We start from the raw sequence: 23,843 nt of genomic DNA on the forward strand, positions 1-23,843 counted from the left end.
AAACTTTGTGAGCAGTTTAACCACATATAATCGAAACCAATAAAAACATTGATTTAAAAATTTATGATTTGGCCACTCTTCTGCCCAGTTTCTTTTCATCTTTTTTTTTTTAATTTAATTTTTATCATTTGGGACAGGGTCTCACTCTGTTGCCCAGGCTGGAGTGCAGTGGCACAATCTTGGCTCACTGCAACCTCTGCCTCCCAAGTTCAAGTGATCCTTCTGCCTCGGCCTCCCAGGTAGCTGGGATTTCAGGTGCAAGCCACCACGCCCAGCTAATTTTTGTATTTTTAGTAGAGACAGGGTTTTACCATGTTGGCCAGGCTGGTCTGGAACTCCTGACCTCAAGTGATACACCTGCCTGAGCCTCCCAAAGTGCTGGAATAACAGGTGTGAGCCACGGTGCCCAGCTCCTGCCCAGTTTTAAAGGAAATAAATGAGCCGGGTGTGGTGGCTCACACCTGCCATCCCAGCACTTTGAGAGGCAGAGGTGAGCGGATTGCTTGAGTCCAGGAGTTTGAGACAAGCCTGGACAACACGGTGAAACCCTGTCTATATTAAACAAACAAACAAATAAGGGAAATAAATGAGAGTTGCCTCTATTTTTAAGGTAATATTGCTACCACTCTAAGGACGATGGGTGTGTTGTTTTATTAATTAATCATAAGGTGGCTTTGGCTTCTAAAATCTATTGCTACTACCTGCTCCATCTGTTTACCAAGAAAACTCAAATATTACTTTCTTTCTTTAACTCTGTTCAGTACAGGGCTCACCCAAGTAAGAGGAGCATCACAAAGACACCAGGGAAATGTTTAGTGCCAGTATGGCAAAATTAAGATTTACTTCTGCCAGAGTAGTTTCCTTTTGCAGACAGAAGAAACTGCCCACCTCCAAAATATATTGAGTTGGTGTTTTAGGAGAGAGCATGGATGGTGCTTGTTTATAATTTGGAACATGCCTTCCTAGAATGTTGTCTATCTTAGAGAGTAATGAGGGTTTTCTGCTATACTGGGGCATTATTCACATGGGGTTGAGGGTGGATGACCTGAAATCTGATCTTTCCTGTCTTTTACTTCTTGTACAATTAGAACTGTGATTTGCACTTAGAGAGCCTTCTGATTCATGGAAGTGCTTATCTATCTTCTACCCCTGTATGATGCATCTGCTTGTGGACCGCACCCAAAAGCAATTTGCAGAATTAAAGTTTTTGAAGACTCATAATAAATCAGTTCAATTTTATCAAGAGAATAAAATTTGATTCATCAGATAACTGCATTGTTATTATTTGTGGGATCCTGATAGACCCAGAGGATATTAAAGCCTGTTCCCCTGACTAATTTTCATCAATACCATTAGCTCCGCTTAGGGTAATATCTTCAGCTAAGGCATCTATACTAGTCAATCATTTGTTTGGCATTATGGAAACTGCCATTGTTTTGAATGATAGTGTAATTCATGTACAGTCTCCTGAACTTCTGGGTGCTTAAAGCTCAGAATTTTGATTGATGTTTAATAGTTATTACAGAACTCATCAGAGAAAATGAGGCCTTGGCATGATTGAGCCTGACTGAAGCTTTCAAAGCCACTGCAAGCTTAGGAAAGTTGCCCTATAAATTTTTTATGAAAGGGCAGTGATCAGTTGTTCCATTTTTTTCTTAAGTTGGTTAAATTAATAAAAAAGAAAAAATATGCTGAGACTTAACCACGTATACTAAACATACAGCTATTTAATTAAGTGATTAAAGTGGTCTCTTTGATGTGATACATGCAAGACATTTGAGAATTTATCTGACTCTCCTAAATAGCCAAGTCAGTGGGGATTAAAATAAATGAGCTTTCTGTCTTCCTTTCTGTAGATCAGCTTAATAGTAAGTGGCTTTGAAAATTCAGGAGTAAAGCAGTCAACCTAGCCAATCTTTAAATCAGTTCAGTCACATATATAAAAAGTAGATGCCATTTCAGAGCTCACAGCTAAATAAAGCAGAATTATGCCTGATTCTGTTCTTCCCACCAGCATTATCAAGTTGTAGTATACAGTATTGAAAATTCTGGGAAGGTGGGGGTGATTTGAGAGTTTAAATCATGTTGTATATTAGGTTTTCAATGTTCCTCATTTTTCTGAGTTCATTTGTGATAGCTGTTGTTTCTCTCTTCAAATAATAATCTTTACAAACTCTCTGTTGTCTCCATGGAAATTAATTGTGATTTTTAAAGCTCTAGCACTAAGACTTTAGGGCAGGGAGTCAACTCCCAAGCAACTGAGATCTGTCGCATGTAAATGGTAGTAATAGCAAAGAGCAAAGCAAAAACAAATAAAAATCTTGATAGCTAAGCCGTGCGTGCACGTGCACACACATGCACACAGATGATGCTGTTGAGCATGGATCAGTTTGGAAGCATTGTTAAGCACTTACTGTGTACTAGCCCCTGTGTCATGAATTGAGGCAACTCAGCGAATAACCTAGCTTTATTTAATTATCTGTGTTGGCTTAGTAAGTTATGGCCCTTGGGCCATATTTGGCATTCTGCCTGTTTTTGTGTGAACCACAAGTTATGAATGGATTTCACATTTTTTAAATAGTTTTAAAAAATCAGCTTGGCACAATGGCTCATGCCTGGAACCCCAGTACTTAGGGAGGGAGATGTGGGAGGATTGCTTGAGCCCAGGAGTTTGAGACCTGTCTGGGCAACGTAGTGAGACCTCGTTCTCCACAAAAAGGAAAACAACAACAACAACAACAACAACACAAAAGGACAAAAAAACACACCAAGTGTAAACAACCAAAAGAAGAATATATTATGATACATGAAAGTTGTATGAGATTCAAATTTCAGTGTCTATAAAGTTTTATTGGAACAGAGTCACAGCCATTCATTTATGTGTTGTTCTAGCTTGTTTCTGCTTTCTCAGGTACAATCACAGAGCTGAGTAGTTGTGCAGAGGCCATATGGATTGCAAAGCCTAAAATATTTACTATTTGGCACTTTACAGAAAAAGTTTGGTTATTCCTGATATGGGTAAGGCAAACTTCATAATTCCTTTATTATCTGAATACTTCTCCCAACTCTCTATTTTACTTTATTGGTATTAGAACTAAATGTATCCATATTCTACAGACGAGGAACCTGAGGAACAGAGAGATTCAGAAAATTCAGCTATTGCTAATACCTTATGTGATGATGATAACTTGTTATAGAATGGTTTTCCTCAGCTTTTTAAATAAAAATGCAGTTAAGTAATCGATAATATTACGTTTGTATGTTCTTTCAGCATTAAGGAGAGTCCTGAGCCTTGATTTTATGTTCAGTATGTGTATTAGTCTGTTCTCATGCTGCTAATAAAGACATACCTGGGACTGGGTAATTTATAAAGAAAGAGGTTTAGTTGACTCACAGTTCCACATGGCTGGGGAGGCCTCACAATCATGGCGGAAGGCAAAGGAAGAGCAAAGTCATATCTTGCATAGCGGCAGGCAAGCAAGAGAAAGCATGTGCAGGCTGGGCACAGTGTCTCACGCCTGTAATCCCAGCACTTTGGGAGGCTGAGGCAGGTGGATCACCTGAGGTCAGGAGTTCGAGACCAGCCTGGCCAATATGGTAAAACCCCATCTCCACTAAAAATACAAAAAATTAGCTGGACATGGTGTGGGCACCTGACATCCCAGCTACTTGGGACGCTGAGGCAGGAGAATCACTTGAACCCAGGAGGTGGAGGTTGCAGTGAGCTGAGATTGTGGCATTGCACTTCAGCCTGGGCAACAAGAGTGAAACTCCGTCTCAAAAAAAAAAAAAAAAGAAAAGAAAAAAGAAAGCAAGCATGTGCAGAGGAACTCCCCTTCATAAAACCATCAGATCTCCTGAGACTTACTCACTATCAAGAGAACAGCACAGGAAAGACCCACCCTCATGAATCAATTACCTCCCACTGGGTCTCTCCCATGACGTGGGAATTATGGGAGCTACAATTTGAGATTTGGGTGGGGATACAGCCAAAACATATCAGTAAGTATTTGCTGATTGATTGAAATAGCTTACATAAAATATATAGTTTTGTTTGCCACCAAGAATTAATTGCATTGGAAGCTGAGTGTGGTGGCTCACACCTGTAATCCCAGCACTTTGGGAGGCTGAGGTGGACATATCATTTGAGGTCAGGAGTTCGAGACCAGCCTGGCCAACATGATGAAACTCCGTCTCTACTAAAAAATACAAAAATTAGCCGGGAATGGTGGTGCATGCCTGTAATCCCAGCTACTCGGTGGGAGGCTGAAGCAGAAGATGCTTGAACCCGAGAGGTGGAGGTTGCAGTGGGCTGAGATTGTGCCACTACACTCCAACCTGGTTGACAGAGCGAGGCTCCACCTCAAAAAAAAAAATTAATTGCAATGGATTTTATATCTTGCTTAATTTTCCAGAATGTTTTATATGTTCTCACAAAATATCTCATTTTCTCCCCTTTTTTCTCTCCTGTGGTAAGATCAGTTAATATTGAAATATACCTTAATGTTAGCTGGGCATGGTGGCACACGCCTGTGATCCCAGCTACTTGGTAGGCTGAGGCACAAGAATTACTTGAACCTGGGACATGGAGGTTGCAATGAGCCGAGATCGTGCTACTGCACTCCAGCCTGGATGACACCGTGAGACTGTCTCAAGACAACAACAACAAAACCCAGGGAAACGTACCTTGGTGTGAACAGCACTGAATGATGTTTATGATTGTATGTTAATCCTCTTATATTTAAAGGTTAAATGTAAAATATAGCCTTTTATATTTTCTGATACTCTTGATGACATTGATCATAGTGGGTTTATCAAATTATTCATTATATGAATTAATATTTATTGAGTATTGGTCACTTGCTATGTTACCTGTGGTAACATGGTGATTAGGTGGAATAGGCTATTGGTTTAATTTGAATAGTATTAGAAGATTCTCTCAGCTACAAAACCTCTCATTTAATTGTATTTATTCCTTTGGCTAATAAACTACTCTTTTAAATAAAAGTATTTCTCCAGAGTAAATATATTAGATTGCTATTAGTGACTTACATTCTATTATAAACTAGTTTGAGGCCCCAGTGGCAGCTAGTGGATTAGCAACCTTGAAGAATTAATAATTTTGATGGATGAGAAGGGAAGGGGGAGATATCTTTGGAGCACAGAGTATTGCTAAGGAAAGGCCAACTAGGGTACGATGGTATTGCAAGTGGTATGAACACATAGGACCTGCTAGGTGTTGAAAGGAACAGATAAGAGAAAGAGAAAGAGGAGGAAGGCAGAAACCAAGATGGCAAGTGCTAAAAGCAACCTGTATCTTTGATCTTTTCTAGGGTTAGATTTGGTAGTGTTTCTTGTGTCTGTTTTCAGAGGTGTGCCAATAGTGGCTCTCAAAAGAGTCCTCCAACTTTTGGGGGGCTGCAAATAGCCTGGATTCTTTTGACTCATATGCAGAGTCTGGCTTTGCTAGGAAAATCTCCTACCATGCTCCAAGAAGCTTGTACATTTGTCTTCCATTGATAAGAGGGTTGCCTCAATAGCTTTTCTCCCTAAGCATTTCTTTTCTCGATATTTTTCCTCTCACCACAAGTGTGGCCTTCTGAAACTGGACCTATGACTAAAAGAGTGACATTATTTCTCAGGGGTTTCAGGTGTTTGGTTAGGGGTATAAGATGACCTGGACTCTTCTGGAAGACCTCCAAACACTACACATCACAGTTACTCCAAATCCTTGGAAAAAGTCACGTTTCTACTTTCTTGGTGTAGTCTACAACTAACATTTGCTCATCATGTACTCTGGACCAAGGGAAAAAAGTGTTTTACATGCAATGTCATCCTGAACTCTTGCAGACAATGCTATGAAATAGGTACTAATTTTTAGTAATTTTTTTCTCAACATCTGATGTAAAGGAGAGTGTGTTAGGATTACATTAGCTAATGGAAAACATGACACATAATGCCTCAAACAAATAAGGGCTTTATTTTCTGTATGTCATGAAGGGAAAAGAGGGAGGCAGTCCAGGTCTAATATGCTGGCCTTCGAATGCCATCAGCTTTTCATCCCACCATCTTCAGCATGTAGATTTTTTCCTCATATGTGTTGCCTTGTGATTACTAGATGGCTGCTCGGCTTCTGGCATTGCATCAGCATTCCAGAAAGGAAGAAGAGGAAAGGCTAAAGCAGTAGTTCTCAGCTGGAGGTGATTTTGCCACCAGGGGCACATTTGGCAATATATGGAGATATTTTTGGTTGTCACAACTTGCGGAGGGGGGCATGGGTTGCTCCTGGTATCTAATTTGTAGAAGCCAAAGATGCTGCTAAACATCCTACAATTTATAGGACAAACCCCAGAGCAAGAATTATCTGGCCCAAAGTGTTGAGAAACCCTGGACTCGAGGCAGAAAGCATATGCTGATGAATCTGTCCCCTTTTAAAATGGATCATTGGAAGTGCAACAAGAAGTTTTTCTTAAATGTCATTGGCCCGAATCTCATCCTGTAGCTGACTCCAGTTGGAAAGGAAGCTGGGCAACACAGCTATTTTGTTGTTGTTGTTGTTGTTGTTGTTGAGTCCATTGTCATCCTGAGCAGAATTGGAGTCCTGACAGTAAGAGAAGAAAGGGAGAATAGTTATTAGGTAGACAGTAGGCGGTGTTTATTTCAAAAAGTTAAGTACTCTGCCTAAGGTCACAGAGGTAGTGAAGATCAGCAGCTGCGTAAACCTCCTCTATTGAGGAACGGATGTCCAGCTGTCAAGTGCAGCTTCTCTCTACATGTCTGTATGAATAAAGCATGAAAATGCATGCACTGGGTATGGAAAGCCCTGGAGTTTTTGATCAGCCACAAACAGCCTAGGAAATATTTCTTGCAGGATATAATATGCAATCTGTTAAATATTTATATCACTGCTCTCTCAGCATTTACAGTGGGACTTGCCTTTCCTTTTTGTCCATGTAACCAATAGGGTAATTAATCTCAGACCTGACTCACTAATACTTTGCCCTTCAAGCCATCAAACTATTGGTGCTTCACTTCTCCCATTTTGAAAAATTAAAAAGTGATGTGATTACTATTTGCCTTACTTAGGGTTCATTCAGGAAACCAGACACTCTTCTAAGTATATCAACCAGCAAGACATTTAATACAGGGAATTGGAGGCTTAGGTAACCTTTCAGAGGGCTGGGGAGTGAAGGGCAGAGTCTGTCAATGATCTCTGCTGCTTGTACACCAAAGAGGTCTTTCTCAGGAGAATGCCTGGAAGTTGCTGGAAAAGGGCTGTATCTGCTGTCTGCAGATGCCCACATATCTGTATAAGGCTACCAACAGCAAATGAATGGCATCTCCTCTTCTACCTTTGGAATTGCCTATGAGTGCTTCTCATTGGCAGTCTAACCTGGAGCCATGGGATATTGCAAGATGTATTTCTGAAGCTTCTCAGGGAAAAATGTAGAATGGGGTGGGGTAGGATGAGGAGGAATTGACAACGAAGTCTGTGGCAGAAAAAAACATTTGAATCTGAATAGAGGAATACATATATAGCATATTTTAGGAAGAAGAACACTCTCTTCAGATGTTGGCAATGTTGCTACTAGTATTATTACCTTATTCTAGGTATGTATCTTTGGGAGGTAAATAGGGATTCTTTGTATGTGTTCTGATTATCTTCAAGTCATGATGATGCTCAATAAATAATAAAAAAGGATTCAATAACCTGCATAGATGGTGCAGAAGGTAATATATTCTGTGAGGCTCTGTAGTGCAGTGGGGGTCCCAGAGATGAGGTTTAAAAAACAATGCATAATTCACCAGCATGCTCTGGAAAGACCAGTCTTCAGAAAACAATTGTGGATGACTCAGCTTGTCCGTTCGTTCGTTCTTTTCTTTTCTTCTTTTCTTTTCTCTCTCTCTCTTTTTCTCACTTTCTCTCCAAAACTATCTGGAATTCTTTACTTGCTATAGTTATGCATATGACTTATAGCGAGCTGATAAAATATAGTGCAAAATTAAATACAATGCCGGAAATAATAGAATAATCTCAGAATGAGGTAACCTATAGATGTATGACATAGTTTGGTGTTGGGGGTAGAGTTGTAACCTCTAGTTATCTGCTATCTGGGTCACATCAAGCTTTTAGTGTGTGTAACTCACAGAGTTTTGAAGGTGTAATTTGATCTGTGCTATACTTGAGTCTGTGAAACAGCAAAACCCATTATGACTATGTCCTACAGCCCTTGTAAAATCCTAAGTCTTGAGCTTCAGGATTCTGCTGATATTTAATATCTGAATTATTTCAAGGAAGGTAAGGAAAGTGTACTATCTTACTATGTTTATTTCTTGAGTGAGGAAAATTGAAAGGGACTAAAGGAAAGAACTCGTTGCCAAGAGCAGTGTCCAGAGGTCACTGGTTTTGCTTTGTGGCTTTGCTGGAATAAAACCAACGTGTTTGGGGTTGCCTAGGTCTTATGTTGGGTCATCTGGAGGCAGATCTGGAGATGAGAATTCCTGTGTAAGTGATTCATTAAACAAATACTCCCAAGAGAAATCAGTAAGGGAATGGGAGAAGCAAGACAGGGAGGGATGAGAGTCCAATTTCAGGAGACATCTCAGAACTAGTCTGATCCTGCAGGGAACTTTGGAAGTACAAATTATACCTCAGAGTTTGTCCTGAATTGAGGCAAGGGGGCTGGGCTTTCATATTGCCGCTTAGGGCTGCTTGGGTGGAGGCAGAGGCGGAGGCGGAGGTGCAGGTGCAGGAAAAGTGGGTAGAAGGCAAATAAACCCCCAGGAACTAGCTATTTTTGATTGCAGGCAAGGAGCTCTAGTAGTTCCTAGGGCAGGCCTTCAGAAAGTCTCAGGTGTTGGCCATTAGAAAAGAAAAAACATAGATGCTGGAGGGATGTACAGAAGTTATAAAAGGGATCCCAGGGAATCTGGTCAGAGCCCTGACAGTGTACTTGTAAGCTTCTCTTTTGCTTTTATGAAACCCAGAATCTGGAGAAGGGAGAGAGAAATTTTCACATGGAACTGTAAAGTTTCTCTAAAGCAAGGGTTGACGAACTTTTTCTAGAAAGGGCCAGATAAAATATTTGAGGCTTTGTGGGCCACAGGGTGTCTGACCCAATTATTCAACTCTACAACTGTACTGCAGAAGCAGCCATAGTTGACAGGTAAACAAATGAGTGTGGCTATGTTCCAATAAAACTTTATTTATAAAAACAGGGGTAGGGTGGCTGGATTTGGCCCAGGGACCATATTTTGCCAATCGCTGCTCTTGAGGTTCTTTATATGTGCCTAAGTTTGTTTTTCCTTTATTTATTCCCTATCTGTTATAAAACACAGAGGATAATTAGTACCTTTGTCTATCTAAATGATGGTTATGACATTATGATGTATCTTAAATTATTCTAGATCACTGCCTCCAATCTTTCTGGCATCCTGGCCATCTTTCACAATGTTGCAAAGATAATCTTCCTGAAGCATGACTCATCTCCTTTTATTCCCATGCTAAACATATTTAGCTCTCTCTTAGCTGTAAAATAAAATATAGGCTTGTTAACATGGCATTCAGGAATCCCTGTGATCTGACCCCAGGCCAATTTTCCTGCATTATTTTCTGTTCTCCATCCTCATGTACTTATAGTCCAGCTACATTAAATTACTCGCCCTCTCTCCAATATGCCATATCGTGTGTGTTTGCTATCTCCTTGTAGTTTTTTTCATTTTTATGTATTTAAACTGACTATATACTGTCAAAATTTTATATATATATATATGATGTACAACATGATGTTTTGATACATGTATACATTAGAAAATGGGTAAATTAACATATCCATCACCTCATATATTTATCATTTTTGTGGTAAGAACATTTAAAATCTACTCCCTTAGCCATTTTCTAGTGTACAATACATTGATATTAACTATAGTCACTATGTTGTACAATACATCTCCTAAACTTATTCCTCTTATCTAACTGAAATTTTGTATCTTTTGACCAACTCCCTAACCCCATTCCCCCACCCCTGGTAACCACCATCCTACTGTACTCTGTTATGAGTTTGACTGCTTTAAATTTCGCATGAATGAGATCATGCAGTATTTGCCTTTTGGTGCCTGGCTTATTTCACTTAGCATGAAGTCCTACAGATTCATCCACGTTGTCACAAATGACAGGATTTTCTTCTTTTTTAAAGCTGAATAGTATTCCATTGTGTATATATACTACATTTTATATTCCATTGTGTACATATACTACATTTTTAATCCATTCCTCTGTTAATAGACATTTAGGTTAATTCCATATCTTGGCTATTTTGAATAGTGCTTCAATGAACATGGAGGCACTCTCTTTAGCGTACTGATTTCATTTCCTTTGGATATATCCCCAGAAGTAGGATTACTGCTTTGTATGGTAGTTACATTTTTAATTTTTAGAGGAACCTCCATAGTGTTTTTCATAGTGACTGTACCAAATTATATTGCCACCAACAGTGCTCAAGAGTTCCCTTTTCTCCACACCCTTACCAACACTTGTTATCTCTTGTCTTGTTGATAGTCGCCATTCTAACTGGTGATAGGTAATATCTCATTGTGTTTTTAATTTTTATTTCCCTGATGAGTAATGATGTGGATCATTAAAAAAATCTGTTGACAATTTGCATGTCTTCTTTTGAGAAATGTATTTTCACGTTATTTTCCCTTTTTAATTTTTTAATTTCTTTTTTTTTTTTTTTTTGGAGACAGGGTCTTGTTCTGTCACCCAGGCTGGAGTGCAGTAGTGTGATCATAGTTCACTGCAGCCTCTACCTCCCAGGCTCAAGTGATCCTCCTGCCTCAACCTCCCAAGTAATTGGAACTATAGGCAGGTGCCACCATGCCCGGCTTTTTTTAAAATTTATTTTTGTAGAGACAGGGTCCCGCTGTGTTGCCCAGGCTGGTCTTGAATTCCTGGCCTCAAGCAATCCTCCTGCCTCAGCCTCCCAAAGCTCTGGGATTACAGGCATGAACAACTGTGCCCGACCTCCTTTCCCCATTTTTTAACCAGGTGATTTGCTTTCTTGATATTGAGTTGAGTTTTAAATATATTTTGGATATTAACCCTTTATCAGATGTATGGTTTGCACATATTTTTGCCTCTGTCTTTGCCCCTGTTTCTTCTCCTGGAATGTTCTTCTAGCTCTACATTTTGAAATCCTAACCATTCTCTTAAGACTCGATTCAGTCACCTTCTCCATTAAGCATTTTCTCCATGCAGAAACAGTCTCTCCTCTGGACTTTGATAACAATATTGTCTATTTCTATTAAATTTTTTATTTTGTTTACATTGTACTAGACAGTTATTTGCTACATTCACTGCATTTTTAGTATACTGAGGTCTCTCAATATATATCTATATATTTTTGCCCTTCACAGTGGCTTGCATATAGTAGATATTCAGTAAATGGAGTTTTCAGATGAAGGGCGCATTTCTACATCTTGTGATTATTAATGATTTAAGTGCTGAAACTCTGACATTATTTTTCTTTTTCCTTTTTGTAGGCGAGAGCTGTTTTGGCAAAAGTTGGCTATCCAGAGTTTATAATGAATGATACTCATGTTAATGAAGACCTCAAAGCTGTAAGTGCTAAATTTACTGTACTTTTTTTTTTCTGGCAAGTTTTACTGGCCTTGTGCCTTTCAACTAACCCAAGTCCTAGCAATTAAAACTGGTGATGCCAGAAAACACCAACTTTTGATTAATTCCTTGGCTAGATATGAGCCTGAATATGCCAGGCAGATCACAAGATTTAGGGCAGATTCAAAATAAAGAAGTGTCAGAAACGATGCGTAGCTGAGTGGGTACCAAAAAACAAATGGACTTGGGTTTGGCCTAATTTGATCATAAAAGAAAGAATTAAGCAAATTGAGTATGTTACAATTAGTGGGCATGTTCTAATGGCAAATGCATCATGTTTGTTGTTAAATACTTTTTATTTGCTTCATTCGTATTAAATGAATAGTAATAAATCTGCCTGCTGGGAGTTAACTTCATTAAACTTTATGAGTGTTTTGGCAAATTAAATGCATATACATACGACTCTATAATTTATTGTGAATTGGATTGTGTATTTGCAGTAAGTTACTGATGAAAAATGGTCATAATTCTTTTTTATTTCAATATTTTTGGACATGTATTTTCCAGTAGGTGTATTAATTACAGGCCTTTCTATTCACAAGCACTGTTATTTCCTCTCCTACAAATAGTTCTGATAAGTGATTTTTCTTCCTCATTTAAAAAAACCTGTTTTTACTATTCACTAGATTTTCTTGAAAATGTAGTCTTTTGAAATTCTTTAAGTAACTATAGTTCTGAGGTATAGCTCTTTCCTGAAATTGTGGTTCAACAAGTGGCATATCTGAAAACGATCCCAGCTTTGTAGATGAGCATCAAAATTTTACAAGACTATTCAAAAGTGAGAGAAAGCATTAATTAGAATCTTCCTCCATTGGGCTCTAAGATATAGCCTCCCAAAATATTGATACAGTTGCTCTGGAAGAAAATAATGATGCCTCATAGCATCCTAAAACTCAGTCTATCTTATTATACACTGTTTTGATGATGCTGAAAATCCCATTATTATTATCGTAACTAAAAATATTGAAGCACTTGACATATTCATGTACATTATCTTTTAATTCCTTCAGTGATTCTGTGAAATAGATGATGTTCATTCCCATTTTGCAGAAAAGGACATAGAGACTCAATAATTTAAGTGAGCTCCTCAGTTCCACACAGACTTTCAGAGCCAGGACTGATATCTGGGCTCAGGAAGCTCTGCCTGTAATCAGACAAGGGATTCTTGAGGGTCCTTTTTAGGCAGCTATGCTGGAGGAACAGAGGCATCAGGGTGGAGACTTGGTGGGGGCAGTGTGACCAGGGCTGTTGGAAGAAGAGCAGAGGGAAGGCCATGTTATCAAATGGTTAAGAGCACAGGCTCCAGTATCATGGGCCTGGGTTTGAATTCTGCTTCTTGTACTTACTAGTTATTTCATCCTGTGTAGGTTACTTAACTTCGGTTAGCCTCCCTTTGGTTATCTGGCTACTGGAAATATAATAACCAAGTCTTAGTATTGTTGGGAAGATTAGATGAGACTGTATAAATGTAAAAGCACTTGGCATAATACTCTGGCTCAGAGTATAGCCTACTTCCTATAAAGGGTAGCTTTGCGGATCAATATGGACCATTTGTGGTCCATTTTCAAATCAGCCATATAAAATATTCCATTTCATTGATCCTTAATAGAAATAGACTCAAGCGTGAATTTCTACCAATTTTGGAAATATATCTGTATCAGCCAGGAAAGCAAAAAGCACAGTAGGTATTTTAAACAGGGAATTTAATACAGGAAATGGGTTGGAAGGCAAGAAAAGGGAAAATAGATAAACCACAGGTTAAACTGCTGTTGCTACTAAGAAGAGTATCATCAGGGCACAAAGTACCTTAGCAGGAGAACCTGGGTAACTCCATACTATTGGTATATATTCTGAGTCAGCATGTGGATGAGAAGGTTTGAGAGACAGTTTGATGTAGAGGTTATAAATAGGGACCGTGGAGTCAAAGTGCCTGGAGTAAAACCCCCAGTCTACCATGTACCACCTTGTTACCTAGGGTAGGTTATGTATCCTCTCTGTGCCTTTCTTCATCTGAAGAATGAAGGTCATACCAATCCCTCCCATATAGGATTTCTGGGAGGATCAAATAAGTTAACATATTTGAAGTGTTTAGAATGAACCCTAACATACAATCAGCACAATACATGTGTTAGCTATGACATCCTCAATTCACACTTGTGGTAGTGAACTATTTTGGTTTGAAAAAGTCCTCATGAATTAACTCATGCACTGTCCAGGTCCCTCAAATTGATTTAAAAGGGTATACAGATGGAGCAGTCTCAAGCTTTAATCGAATAAGGTAGAACTTAAGGCTTACTCACAATATTTAGTTGATCAAGTTTTGTTGGCATTCTGTTGCTAAGTTCAGAGCCCCAAATTTAAGGACCCATTGAATGCAATATCTTTTGTGAAAAGAAACCAGATGCCAAACAGGATGCCATGTTGGCTGTGCTTCTTTGTTTCTCTGGGGCCTGAACTGAAGACATTACACACCAAGATTTTTAATCACTTCTTTGAAGAAATGGCTTTCATCTGACTCATTGCCAAAGCAGACACAATTACGCCCAAGAGTTTTAACAGTTTAAAAACCTGACAGTGAAAAAAATTCCAGGTACATGAAGTAAAAAGACATTTGTATTCAGAAACCGATTGTTTTAGTCAATTTACACGGTGCTATAAAGAAATACCCGAGACTGGATAATTTATAGAGGAAAGAGGTTTAATTGACTCACAGTTCCACACGGCTGGGGAGGCCTCAGGAAACCTACAATCATGGCGGAAAGTGAAGGGGAAACAGGCACCTTCTTCACAAGGCGGCAGGAGGGAAGAGTGAGAGTTCAGGAAAAAACTGCCACTTTTAAAACCATCAGATCTCATGAGAACTCACTATCACAAGAACAGCATGGGGGAAACTGCCCCCATGATTCAATCACCTCCCTCCCTTGACATATGGGGATTACAAGTCCCTCCCTTGACACGTGGGGATTACAATTCGAGATGAGATTTGTGCTCTCTCACTTTCTCTCCCCCTCAAGCCCCGCCCTTTTCTTTTTCTGACAGTGACTTCAGTCCCTCCTCCAAACCTCAGCTCTGGAGTGGCAGGCAGTTCTCCTCTACTCTCCTAAGTGATGGTACCATCACCTCCTCCCTTCTGTGACCCTAGACACAGGAGTCGCAGCTGTGTACTCCTGTGACTCTCACAGAGCCAAATCATATCACTGATAGAGAAAATGAATAAAACCCACCCTAAAAATAGGTAAAGGATGATATGATAGATTGTAATATTGTCACTGAGGGCAATAGCAAAAAGACTGAAGTATTCCTGGTACACAATGAGACTGTTTTCAGTTTTAAGAAACATGTAGATAAGGACTGCTATAGGACCTATGAGAAATTTCTGGTAATACGAGCTCTGAGCATGAGAGGCTGTTACAAATGAAAAACAGCATGCTGCATTTGAGACAGGTGGAGATATGATTCATCAGGCACAAATGCAAAAGGAAAGAGGAGCGAGATTACCTGATGGATCAGACGAAGGTCAAGGAGAAATGTTGAAAATTGAAGTTGGGCTCATGTGGAAATAAAAGCAAATGAGATAGAATTAAGAGGTAAATATGCAAAGGAATCAGAAATTTTTTAAGGATGACAAGGTAAACTGAGGTACTCAGCAAAGCATTTCCGAACAACAATCTTGTAGTTTTTGAAAAGAACAGGAAGAAATAAAATGCCCTTTATTTGAACCCCCATCAACATGCAGGAAAGCCTGTTAGCCTAAAAAGGTAGGCATGAGCCCATTTTCAAATCAGCCTAATAAAGTATTCCATTTCATTGATTCTTAATAGAAATAGATTCAAAAGTGAGTCTCTCCCAATTTTGGAAATATTTCAGTATTAGCCAGGAAAGCAAAAAGCACACTAGGTATTTTAAACAAGGAATTTAATACATGAAATATGTTGGAAGGCAAGAAGAGGGAAAAATGAGATAAACCACAGATTAGTAACTTTAGAAAGCAGCTGCGACTCCTGTGTCTAGGGTCACAGAAGGGAGGAGGTGATGGTACCGTCACTTAGGAGAGTAGAGGAGAACTGCCACTCCAGAGCTGAGCTTTGCAGGAGGAACTAAAGATTCTTCCAGAGTTATTGTCAGAAAAAGAAAAGGGAGGGAGTAGAGGGGGAGAGAGAGTGAGAGACAGCAACACAGCACCCTTTTCCCTTCTGCAACCCACTAATTTCCTGTAGTGCCTCCTATTTGCAGGAAGCTAATTGGCAAAGGAGCTTGAGAAACAGTTTTCAGATTCCCAGTCCCCAGCATTACGGAACAGAGTGAAAGGGTAGGCATGTAGCTGAAAAACTACAGGTAAATAACTGGCACTATTAAGGACGTTACTAAGGACCAAAGTCAGAATCATGGCTGGCCTCCATTTACTTAGGAGAATTGGAAATGAGAAAATTTTCAGAGGCCAAAGTTTCTGGTGAGTGATACACACATATATAGACATAAATGTGCATATAGGGATATGCAGATATGTGAACCTATGTAAGATTCTCTGTGGTGGGTCTGGTCTACTTTGGCCAGTGAAACACTAGTGTGTGTGTGTAGTGTGTGTGTGTGTGTGTGTGTACATGACAGAGAGTGCCACTCTGCAAGAGTGAGGTGATATTCAGATGGAATGCTAGAATGCTGCAGAAAAAGAGGTTGTTAAAATATTAAAATAATTCTTTACTATTTGTTAAAAAACACAAAACATTGCGCTCAGCTCTTTCAAGGGACCCCTGGCCATCATGGCACTGGAGAGCTAAGGGTGGGCATTGGAGGTGGGACACCCTGGTGCCCCCCAACCTTCCAGCCAGGCCTCTGTAACTCTCTCACATTGGCCTTCATCCAGACTGTTCCACTGGTCAGAGCAGACCAAGACCAGCCCCAGTGTGGAGATGGGACATCTGGTTCCAGTGCTAGTGTGCTGGCTGGAACTCCCTCAGACCCACCTTCACATAGCTGTTTGTAGGAATTGCATCCTCCATGGTACACTGTATATGTGGATTATTAAACATTTTGAGCATCACCTCAGTATATATTAGGTTGGTGCAAAAGTAATTGTGGTTTTTGCCATTACTATTAATGCCAAAAACTGCAATTACTTTTGCACCAACATAATAAGTATGTCTACATGTATAGACACACATTACTTTTGGGCAAAGCCATCTAAACACACCAATCTTGCATGTTGCTTTGTTGTTTGAATAAGGGGACATGTAGATATAAAATACGGATTCCATTAAGTATTCAGAAAATCCTTTGGGTGCCTAACATAAAGTCTTTCTAATAGATATTTGGATATATCTCTGAGTATCTTTAAATGGATTTAAATTAAATGAAAGGTATCCTAGAATTTACACTTCCTACTGGCACAGTAAGGAAAGTACCACAATTAGTGCTTCAGTATTTTTCATCTGCCTATTCCTACATGTAGGCCGAAGACTATACTACAGATCATTTGCATTCCTATGTACTGCCTTATAAACATGTACTTATCCTACAGAGAAGCTGAACACATTTCCTTGTTCTGCGCTTATTACAGGTTCTCCATCTTTGGGGTGGTGGTGGTGGTAATAACTTTATTCTTCCATTTAGTCTGTGGATCTGGGATAGGATATTCAAGAAGAGAAATGTAGGCTCTCCTGAATTTTATGATCGGGACAGCTGTTCCTGGGAAATGACACAAGAATCCCAATTAATTCCCCAAAGGTCACGCAATTGAAAAGTCAAGAGATGGAATTGATTGAAAGTGATCATCAACTTGACCTAGACTTTTTCCAGTAACTGAAAGGACAAGAGGCTTTTGAGCCAAGTATTGTCTCTTGCCAAATTTAATTTTTTCATTTTGGAGATTACAAGCGGCTTTAAAATATTCATGCGAATTCATTCTTGTTTCTACTTCTAGAAAAAATAGAACTTTCTCAATAGTTGCTGGGTTTCAATTCTTTTTCTCATCCAAGGGCCTTTTGAAATATTTAAAATTATCAAAATATTATTACAATTAGCAAGTCTTCTAAAAGTAAAAACTGATCCCACTGATATTATTTTTTAAAAGTTAATATTTTTGAAGGAAATTCTTCTGAGAAAATTTCCCAGAAAGTGTTCTGAGCCCAAGAACATATCTGAATTTTCTATCAGTTATAATCATATTCTGAAGGTTTTGGCAGAAAATTTGGGAACTAGAGAAAACGCACTCATAATATTGCTACATAATATATACTTCTGTTACAGTTTATTAATTTGTTTTTCTCTATTTCTGTACTGCCGTAATTGATGTTTACATATAATTTGGTACACCAACCTTTACAGTAACATATTGTTTTGCTACTGTCTTTATAGCCTTTGTTACCATGATTTTAACTGCTGTATAGTATTTCAAGTAAGTTGTATCATGATTGATTTAATCACTGCTTCTACTCCCTTCCTCAATCTCACTTTGTCCTTGAATCACTGGTTCTCTTATTAAGACCAACGAAAATAACATTGGAGTCAGAGCCAAATGACTTGGACGGTGTAGCTTTGCCAAATTCCGTAATCTCCTTAGCCCTGTTTCCCATCTATCATATGTGAATAACAGTGACTGGCCCCTGCCTACCCCCAAACACTTAACCTGTCTCAAGGAAAAACGTAAGACCTGTCCTCTATTACTTGTGATTTCCATTAAATAAATGGAATAGATCAATTAAACCAGGCTAAGAAAGAAGAAATATTCTCAACTTAATAATGAAAACAATTTTTAAATTATCTTTCTAAACATAAATAAGCTATGGCAAATTGTAATTAATTACCTCTGAGTTTTGTTTCCCCCAATTATTTTCAGGGTTCTGGTAGGTCCTTACTTATCTAATGTATTTTTAGACTTGGGACCCTTTTCTTCTTTACAACGTTTTTTTTTTTTTTAATTTTTAGGCAGAGTCTCCCTCTGTTGCCCAGGCTGGAGTGCAGTGGCACAATCTCGGCTCACTGCAACCTCCACCTCCCAAGTTCAAGTGATTCTCCTGCCTCAGCCTCCCGAGTAGCTGGGATTACAGGCATGTGCCACCACACCTGGTTAATTTTCATATTTTTAGAAGAGACGGGATTTCACCATGTTGGCCAGGCTGGCCTCGAACTCCTGACCTCAAGTTATCTGCCAGCCTCGGCCTCCCAAAGTGTTGGGATTACAGGCATGAGTCACTGTGCCCAGCCCTTTAGAAAGTTTTGAGATGGCTTTCTGTTTAATGTCTGTAGACCAACCTGAATATCAAGGGATTTTTTTTTTTCAGATGGAACAGTAATGAAAGTATCACAATTAGCAAGTTTTCTAAAAGTAAAAACTGACCCCACTGATATTATTTTTAAAAAGTTAATATTTTTGAAGGAAATTCCTCTGAGAGAATTTCCCAGAATGTGTTCTGAACCCAAGAACATACCTGAATTTTCTATCAGTTATAATCATATTCTGAAGGTTTTGGCAGAGCTGTCTTGGAAACAAAAGCTGAAAAAGGCAAAGGGTTGAACAGTGGACACATCTTTTAACCATATGATCTGGGAATGCCTTAGGATTGCTAGTAAGGTTGCTTTCTATAACAAGGTGCTTACTCTGTTTCTTCTGAGGCTAAAAGAAAACCTTTATCTTAAAATATAATCAATTATAAGATTTTGGCCAGCGCGGTGGCCCACACCTGTAATCCCAGCACTTTGGGAGGCCAAGGTGGGCGGATCACTTGAGTCCAGGAATTCAAGGCCAGCCTGGCCAACATGGCAAGACCGCATCTCTACTAAAAATATAAAAATTAGCTGGGCATGGTGGTGCATGTCTGTAATCCCAGCTACTCGGGAGGCTGAGGCACAAGAATCGCATGAACCTGGGAGGTAGAGGTTGCAGTGAGCTGAGATTGCACTGCTGCACTCTAGCCTGGGTGACAGAGCGAGACTGTCTCAAAAAAAAAAAAAAAAAAATATATATATATATATATATATATGTATGTATATATGATTTCTTTTTATTATGAAGCATTTCAAATGTTGGAACATGAGTAAAATAATTTGAACACATCTATTTTAACACATAGTAAACATATTGCCATATTAGCTTTGTACATGCACACACACATTTTAAATGAACAGATGCATTTGAAATTTTGTCTGTAATCTTCCTTGATCTAATCTCCTTCCTCTGCGTCTATCTCCATCTCTGCATATAAACACTACCTTGAGTTCAGTCTTATTATTGTTATTCCCATGCCTTTCTTTATGCTTTTGCTACATAGGTACGCATCCATCAACAGCATACAGTGTTGTTTTGCATGTTTAAAAACTTTAAATTTCCTCATAGATACAACTTACCTTATTCACTCTGCATAATTTTTAAGATTATTTCATGTTCATGCATACAGAACAATCATGTAAACTGTTGTATTGCCTTCCATTATGTGAATATACCACAATTTGTTTATCAGCCCCTCTTCCCTGAGCAAGCAGTTTGAGGGACAATTTAAAGTCATAGTGTTATAATTTGTTGGCCAAGCAGAACACAGAGGGTGCCAGGAATCAATACTTTTATTTCTGCCTTTCTCCATGTGCCTTCAGTTATTTTACTCCTTCCTTTATATTTTGGCTTGGTCTCCTGGAAAGATTGTTAAGATGACTCCTTAACAAAAACTTCTCCACGGACATGAGAACCCACTCTGTGTTAGGGAGGAGCTAAATGTGAGCCAGACATTGGTCAACAAGTAGGTGACTGTCGAGCCTATTACCATCAAATTGCATATATACATTCGTATCTATAATGTAATGCCTTGTGGGTTTCATATACACGAGTATTTTACTTTTTGCTTTTAAAAGACTATTAAAGTTATAAAAATTACAGTTTATAAGAATTTGGTTACCCTTGGTTATCTCCTTATTCAAATGTGTATTTTTCTTAATTTCCATAGTAATATATTTAAAAACCCAAGCATTGGAGGTCACTACAAACGATTGCATGAACAGCTCCACAGATCTTATTTACAATAAATAGCTAGGTTAGGTATTGCTAGTTTTGTAGATGGAGTGCCTATAGAATGGAAACCGTCTGCCATTCTCCTTCCAAAACAAGGAAAGGAACTAAAAAAGCAATTATGTCTGTTTCCTTGTCTTAATAGACAACATTGTTGTGAGCTGCTACCAGCTTTCTGTGTTCCCATGCAAGCTATAATCTATGATTTGCCTCTGTAATTTCATTAATATTTAGTGACCAGAGACTTTTTGAGTGTTAACAGATACATTCTGTTAATAATTATTCTGGTGACTTCATTGTGCTTATGGTGGAAAATAGGTCTCTGAATCACATTTATTGTTTTCCTTTACGAACAACTACCAATTATTTGACTAAATCATTGTCTATAAGCTAAATGAGTTTTCAGCCAACTAAACTGCATGTTACTGAAAAAACTTACGTGACAAATTAACAAAGTACACATTTTAAAAAAGATCAAGGACTCGTGAGCCAAGAAATTTCAAACCAAAGATAATATGTTTTATAAAGGTTGAAGTAGATTTTTCAATTAGAAAGTAAATGGAACGCATTGTAAATGACTGCAGCTTCTCTTGTTGTGTTTTTACTGTGATCCAGAAATGACTATATTGATTTTTGAAGTTTTTACGTTAACAAAATCACTGAGACTAAATTTCATGGCTTTGTGACTTCTGGGTCAACTGATAACAGCTGAGAGAGGCTGTGACTGATGCAGCTTCTCTGCTAGTTGCTCCTTCCTATGCTGAAGTATTTTTTTAGAGCCATCTTTTATCTTTACTTAGAACAATGATGTTGTGGTTTGTTTTATTCAGATCAAGTTTTCAGAAGCCGACTACTTTGGCAACGTCCTACAAACTCGCAAGTATTTAGCACAGTCTGATTTCTTCTGGCTAAGAAAAGCCGTTCCAAAAACAGAGTGAGTATTAAACAAAAAAAGTTAAATAGATAAATACATTGGTGAGAAGCGGAGTCTCTTTAGATTAAACTTTGTAATTCCCCTCAAGTCAGAGTAGCTGGCTTGCCAGTTAACTTGTTTTAGCAAAATCTGTGTCATGTTTTGCCAACTCTTATTTTTTATATTACGTGATTCAGATCTTAAGTCTAATTACAGGTCCCCCATTTCTAGCATCAACACATATCAAGAGAAGGCTTATTAGAATGCAAACATTAAAGTTATGTCTAGATCTAGTTATGAATATATAGAGAGGGAATAATTTCTCTGGATTTTTACATTCATGTAATAACTTTTGAAGACCTTAAAAAAGAATAAATACTTAAACTATGATTAGAAATGTCAAAGTAAATGTATAGAAGCAACTAGAAAATATTTGTTGAGGTAATGCCTATCAAAGAACTGATAGCTATATTGTTTTTATCTAATAGCAGTTATGATTTATTTGCCTTCCTCTCAGCTGCCTATAGGAGTTTTTCCTACAGATAGGAGAGTTTCCTTAGGAACTTTTAGGCCCAGAGCCCACCAGCTACGATTTCATCCCTTAGCAAAATGTCAGTGATGAATGTAGCAGCTAACAATTATTATTTGTTTACATTGTACCAGAAAGTGCTTTACAATTTTTAATTCATTTTATCCTCATACGAATTCTGTGTGGTATAGGTACTGTTATCCCCATTTTACAGGAAAATAAAAGGCTTACAACTGAGAAATTCTTCAGCTTAGGTTTGGATCACATTTTGTTCTGTCTGCTGGTGCTTTTGATTCCTGGGACTGGATTCTGTTCTGCTAAGGCCCACTTCTCCAATGCTTTTTTTTCTCTCTGTTCTCCAGATTGGATAATTTCTATTGGTCTGGATTTCAACTCCAGAATTTCTTTTTTTAATTTAATTGTATTATTATTTTTTTAACTTATTTTTTATTTCAATAGATTTTGGGGGAACAGATGGTGGTTGGTTACATGAATAAGTTCTTTAGTGGTGATTTCTGAGATTTCAGTGCACCCATCACACGAGCAGTGTACATGTATACTGTATCAGTGTGTAGTCTTTTATTCCTCACCCCCCTCCCACTCTTTCCCCCTAAGTCTCTAAAGTCCACTGTATCATTCTTATGCCTTTGTGTCCTCATAGCTTAGCTCCCTCTTATGAGTAAGAACATACAATGTGTGGTTTTCCATTCCTAAGTTACATAGGATAATGGTCTCCAATTCCATCCAGGTTGCTGTGAATGCCATTATTTCATTCCTTTTTATGGCTGACAACTTCGGAATTTCCGTTTGTTTTTTGTAGTTTCTATTTCTCTGTTGTGATTCTTTGTTAAGTCATTGTCATCATATTTTCTATTAATTCTTCAAATAAAGTTTATTTTAATTCTTTGAAGTCATCTATAATAGTCACTTTCAAGTCTTTGCTAAATCTAATATGTGGGCTCAAACTAACTAGAGTTAGTTTCTATTGATTGCCTTTTTATTAAATTAATTAATTTTTTTTTACAGTTTTTCCTTTGCTTAACATTTTTTGTTGTTGTTGCTAATGACAGTTTAGATAGCATGTTGTAGCAACTCTGGATTCTGATTTATTTTTCTGAGGCTTTTTTTTTTTAAAATCAAAAGTAACTGTCCTAACTTATACTGCCGAATAGATCTTCTCTGTGGTATGTAGCTGTCGATGTCTCCACTCAGTTTTTTAACTCTTATTTGTAGTTATTAGCCTCACTTCCTGCTGGTTGTCCCTGTGTCTACATAGCTTAGTGCTCAATCAGTGATTAGGTCAGAGCTTGTGCTTAAACACCTTGAGTCCATAGGGCTTCTACCCTCTGCCAGTTGCTCTGTGTGTGGGTTGGGAGCACCTTCAAAGTTATAGCCAGTTCTCAGTCCACCTTCAATTTCACCTTCCACCAGGCCCTCACTGGTCTTCCCTGCACATGTGCCTAGTTTCCCAGTCAGCCAGGGATGTGTGGAGTGCTTATTTGGCCCTTCTATTACTATTTCAGTTATAGGATCTCTCTTTTAAATTTCTGACTGGGTTTTCCTCGTTAGTTTTCTACTAAGTTGGCCATTCAAAAATTAAAAAAAAAATGTTGTGGGTATGTAGTAGGTGTACGTATTTATGAGGTACATGAGATATTTCAATACAGGCATAAAATGTGTAATAATCACATCAGAGTAAATGGGGTATCCATAGCCTCAAGCATTTATC

At 38.4% G+C, this 23,843-nt stretch overlaps 1 protein-coding gene and 1 long non-coding RNA gene across 7 annotated transcripts in view; one reads left to right on the forward strand and one right to left on the reverse strand.

Annotated features, from left to right (window-relative positions):
• The window catches only part of PHEX (phosphate regulating endopeptidase X-linked), a 218,986-nt gene that overhangs the window by 124,446 nt on the left and 70,697 nt on the right, over positions 1–23,843 (forward strand). For all 6 annotated transcript variants that reach the window (NM_000444.6, NM_001282754.2, XM_024452390.2 and 3 more), the window contains 2 exons: positions 11,542–11,619; positions 21,503–21,606. In NM_000444.6, coding sequence (NP_000435.3) covers positions 11,542–11,619; positions 21,503–21,606 — 182 coding nt within the window. The remainder of the gene's footprint in view (positions 1–11,541; positions 11,620–21,502; positions 21,607–23,843) is intronic.
• PHEX-AS1 (PHEX antisense RNA 1) lies at positions 5,962–16,213 on the reverse strand. Its single transcript, NR_046639.1, has 5 exons — positions 15,176–16,213; positions 14,740–14,874; positions 14,389–14,420; positions 13,024–13,085; positions 5,962–6,601 (listed from the first exon to the last, which is right to left on the reverse strand). It is a non-coding gene; the product is annotated as a PHEX antisense RNA 1 (long non-coding RNA).

The sequence above is a fragment of the Homo sapiens genome, chromosome X (assembly GCF_000001405.40).
Source record: "Homo sapiens chromosome X, GRCh38.p14 Primary Assembly".
NCBI lineage: Eukaryota > Metazoa > Chordata > Mammalia > Primates > Hominidae > Homo > Homo sapiens.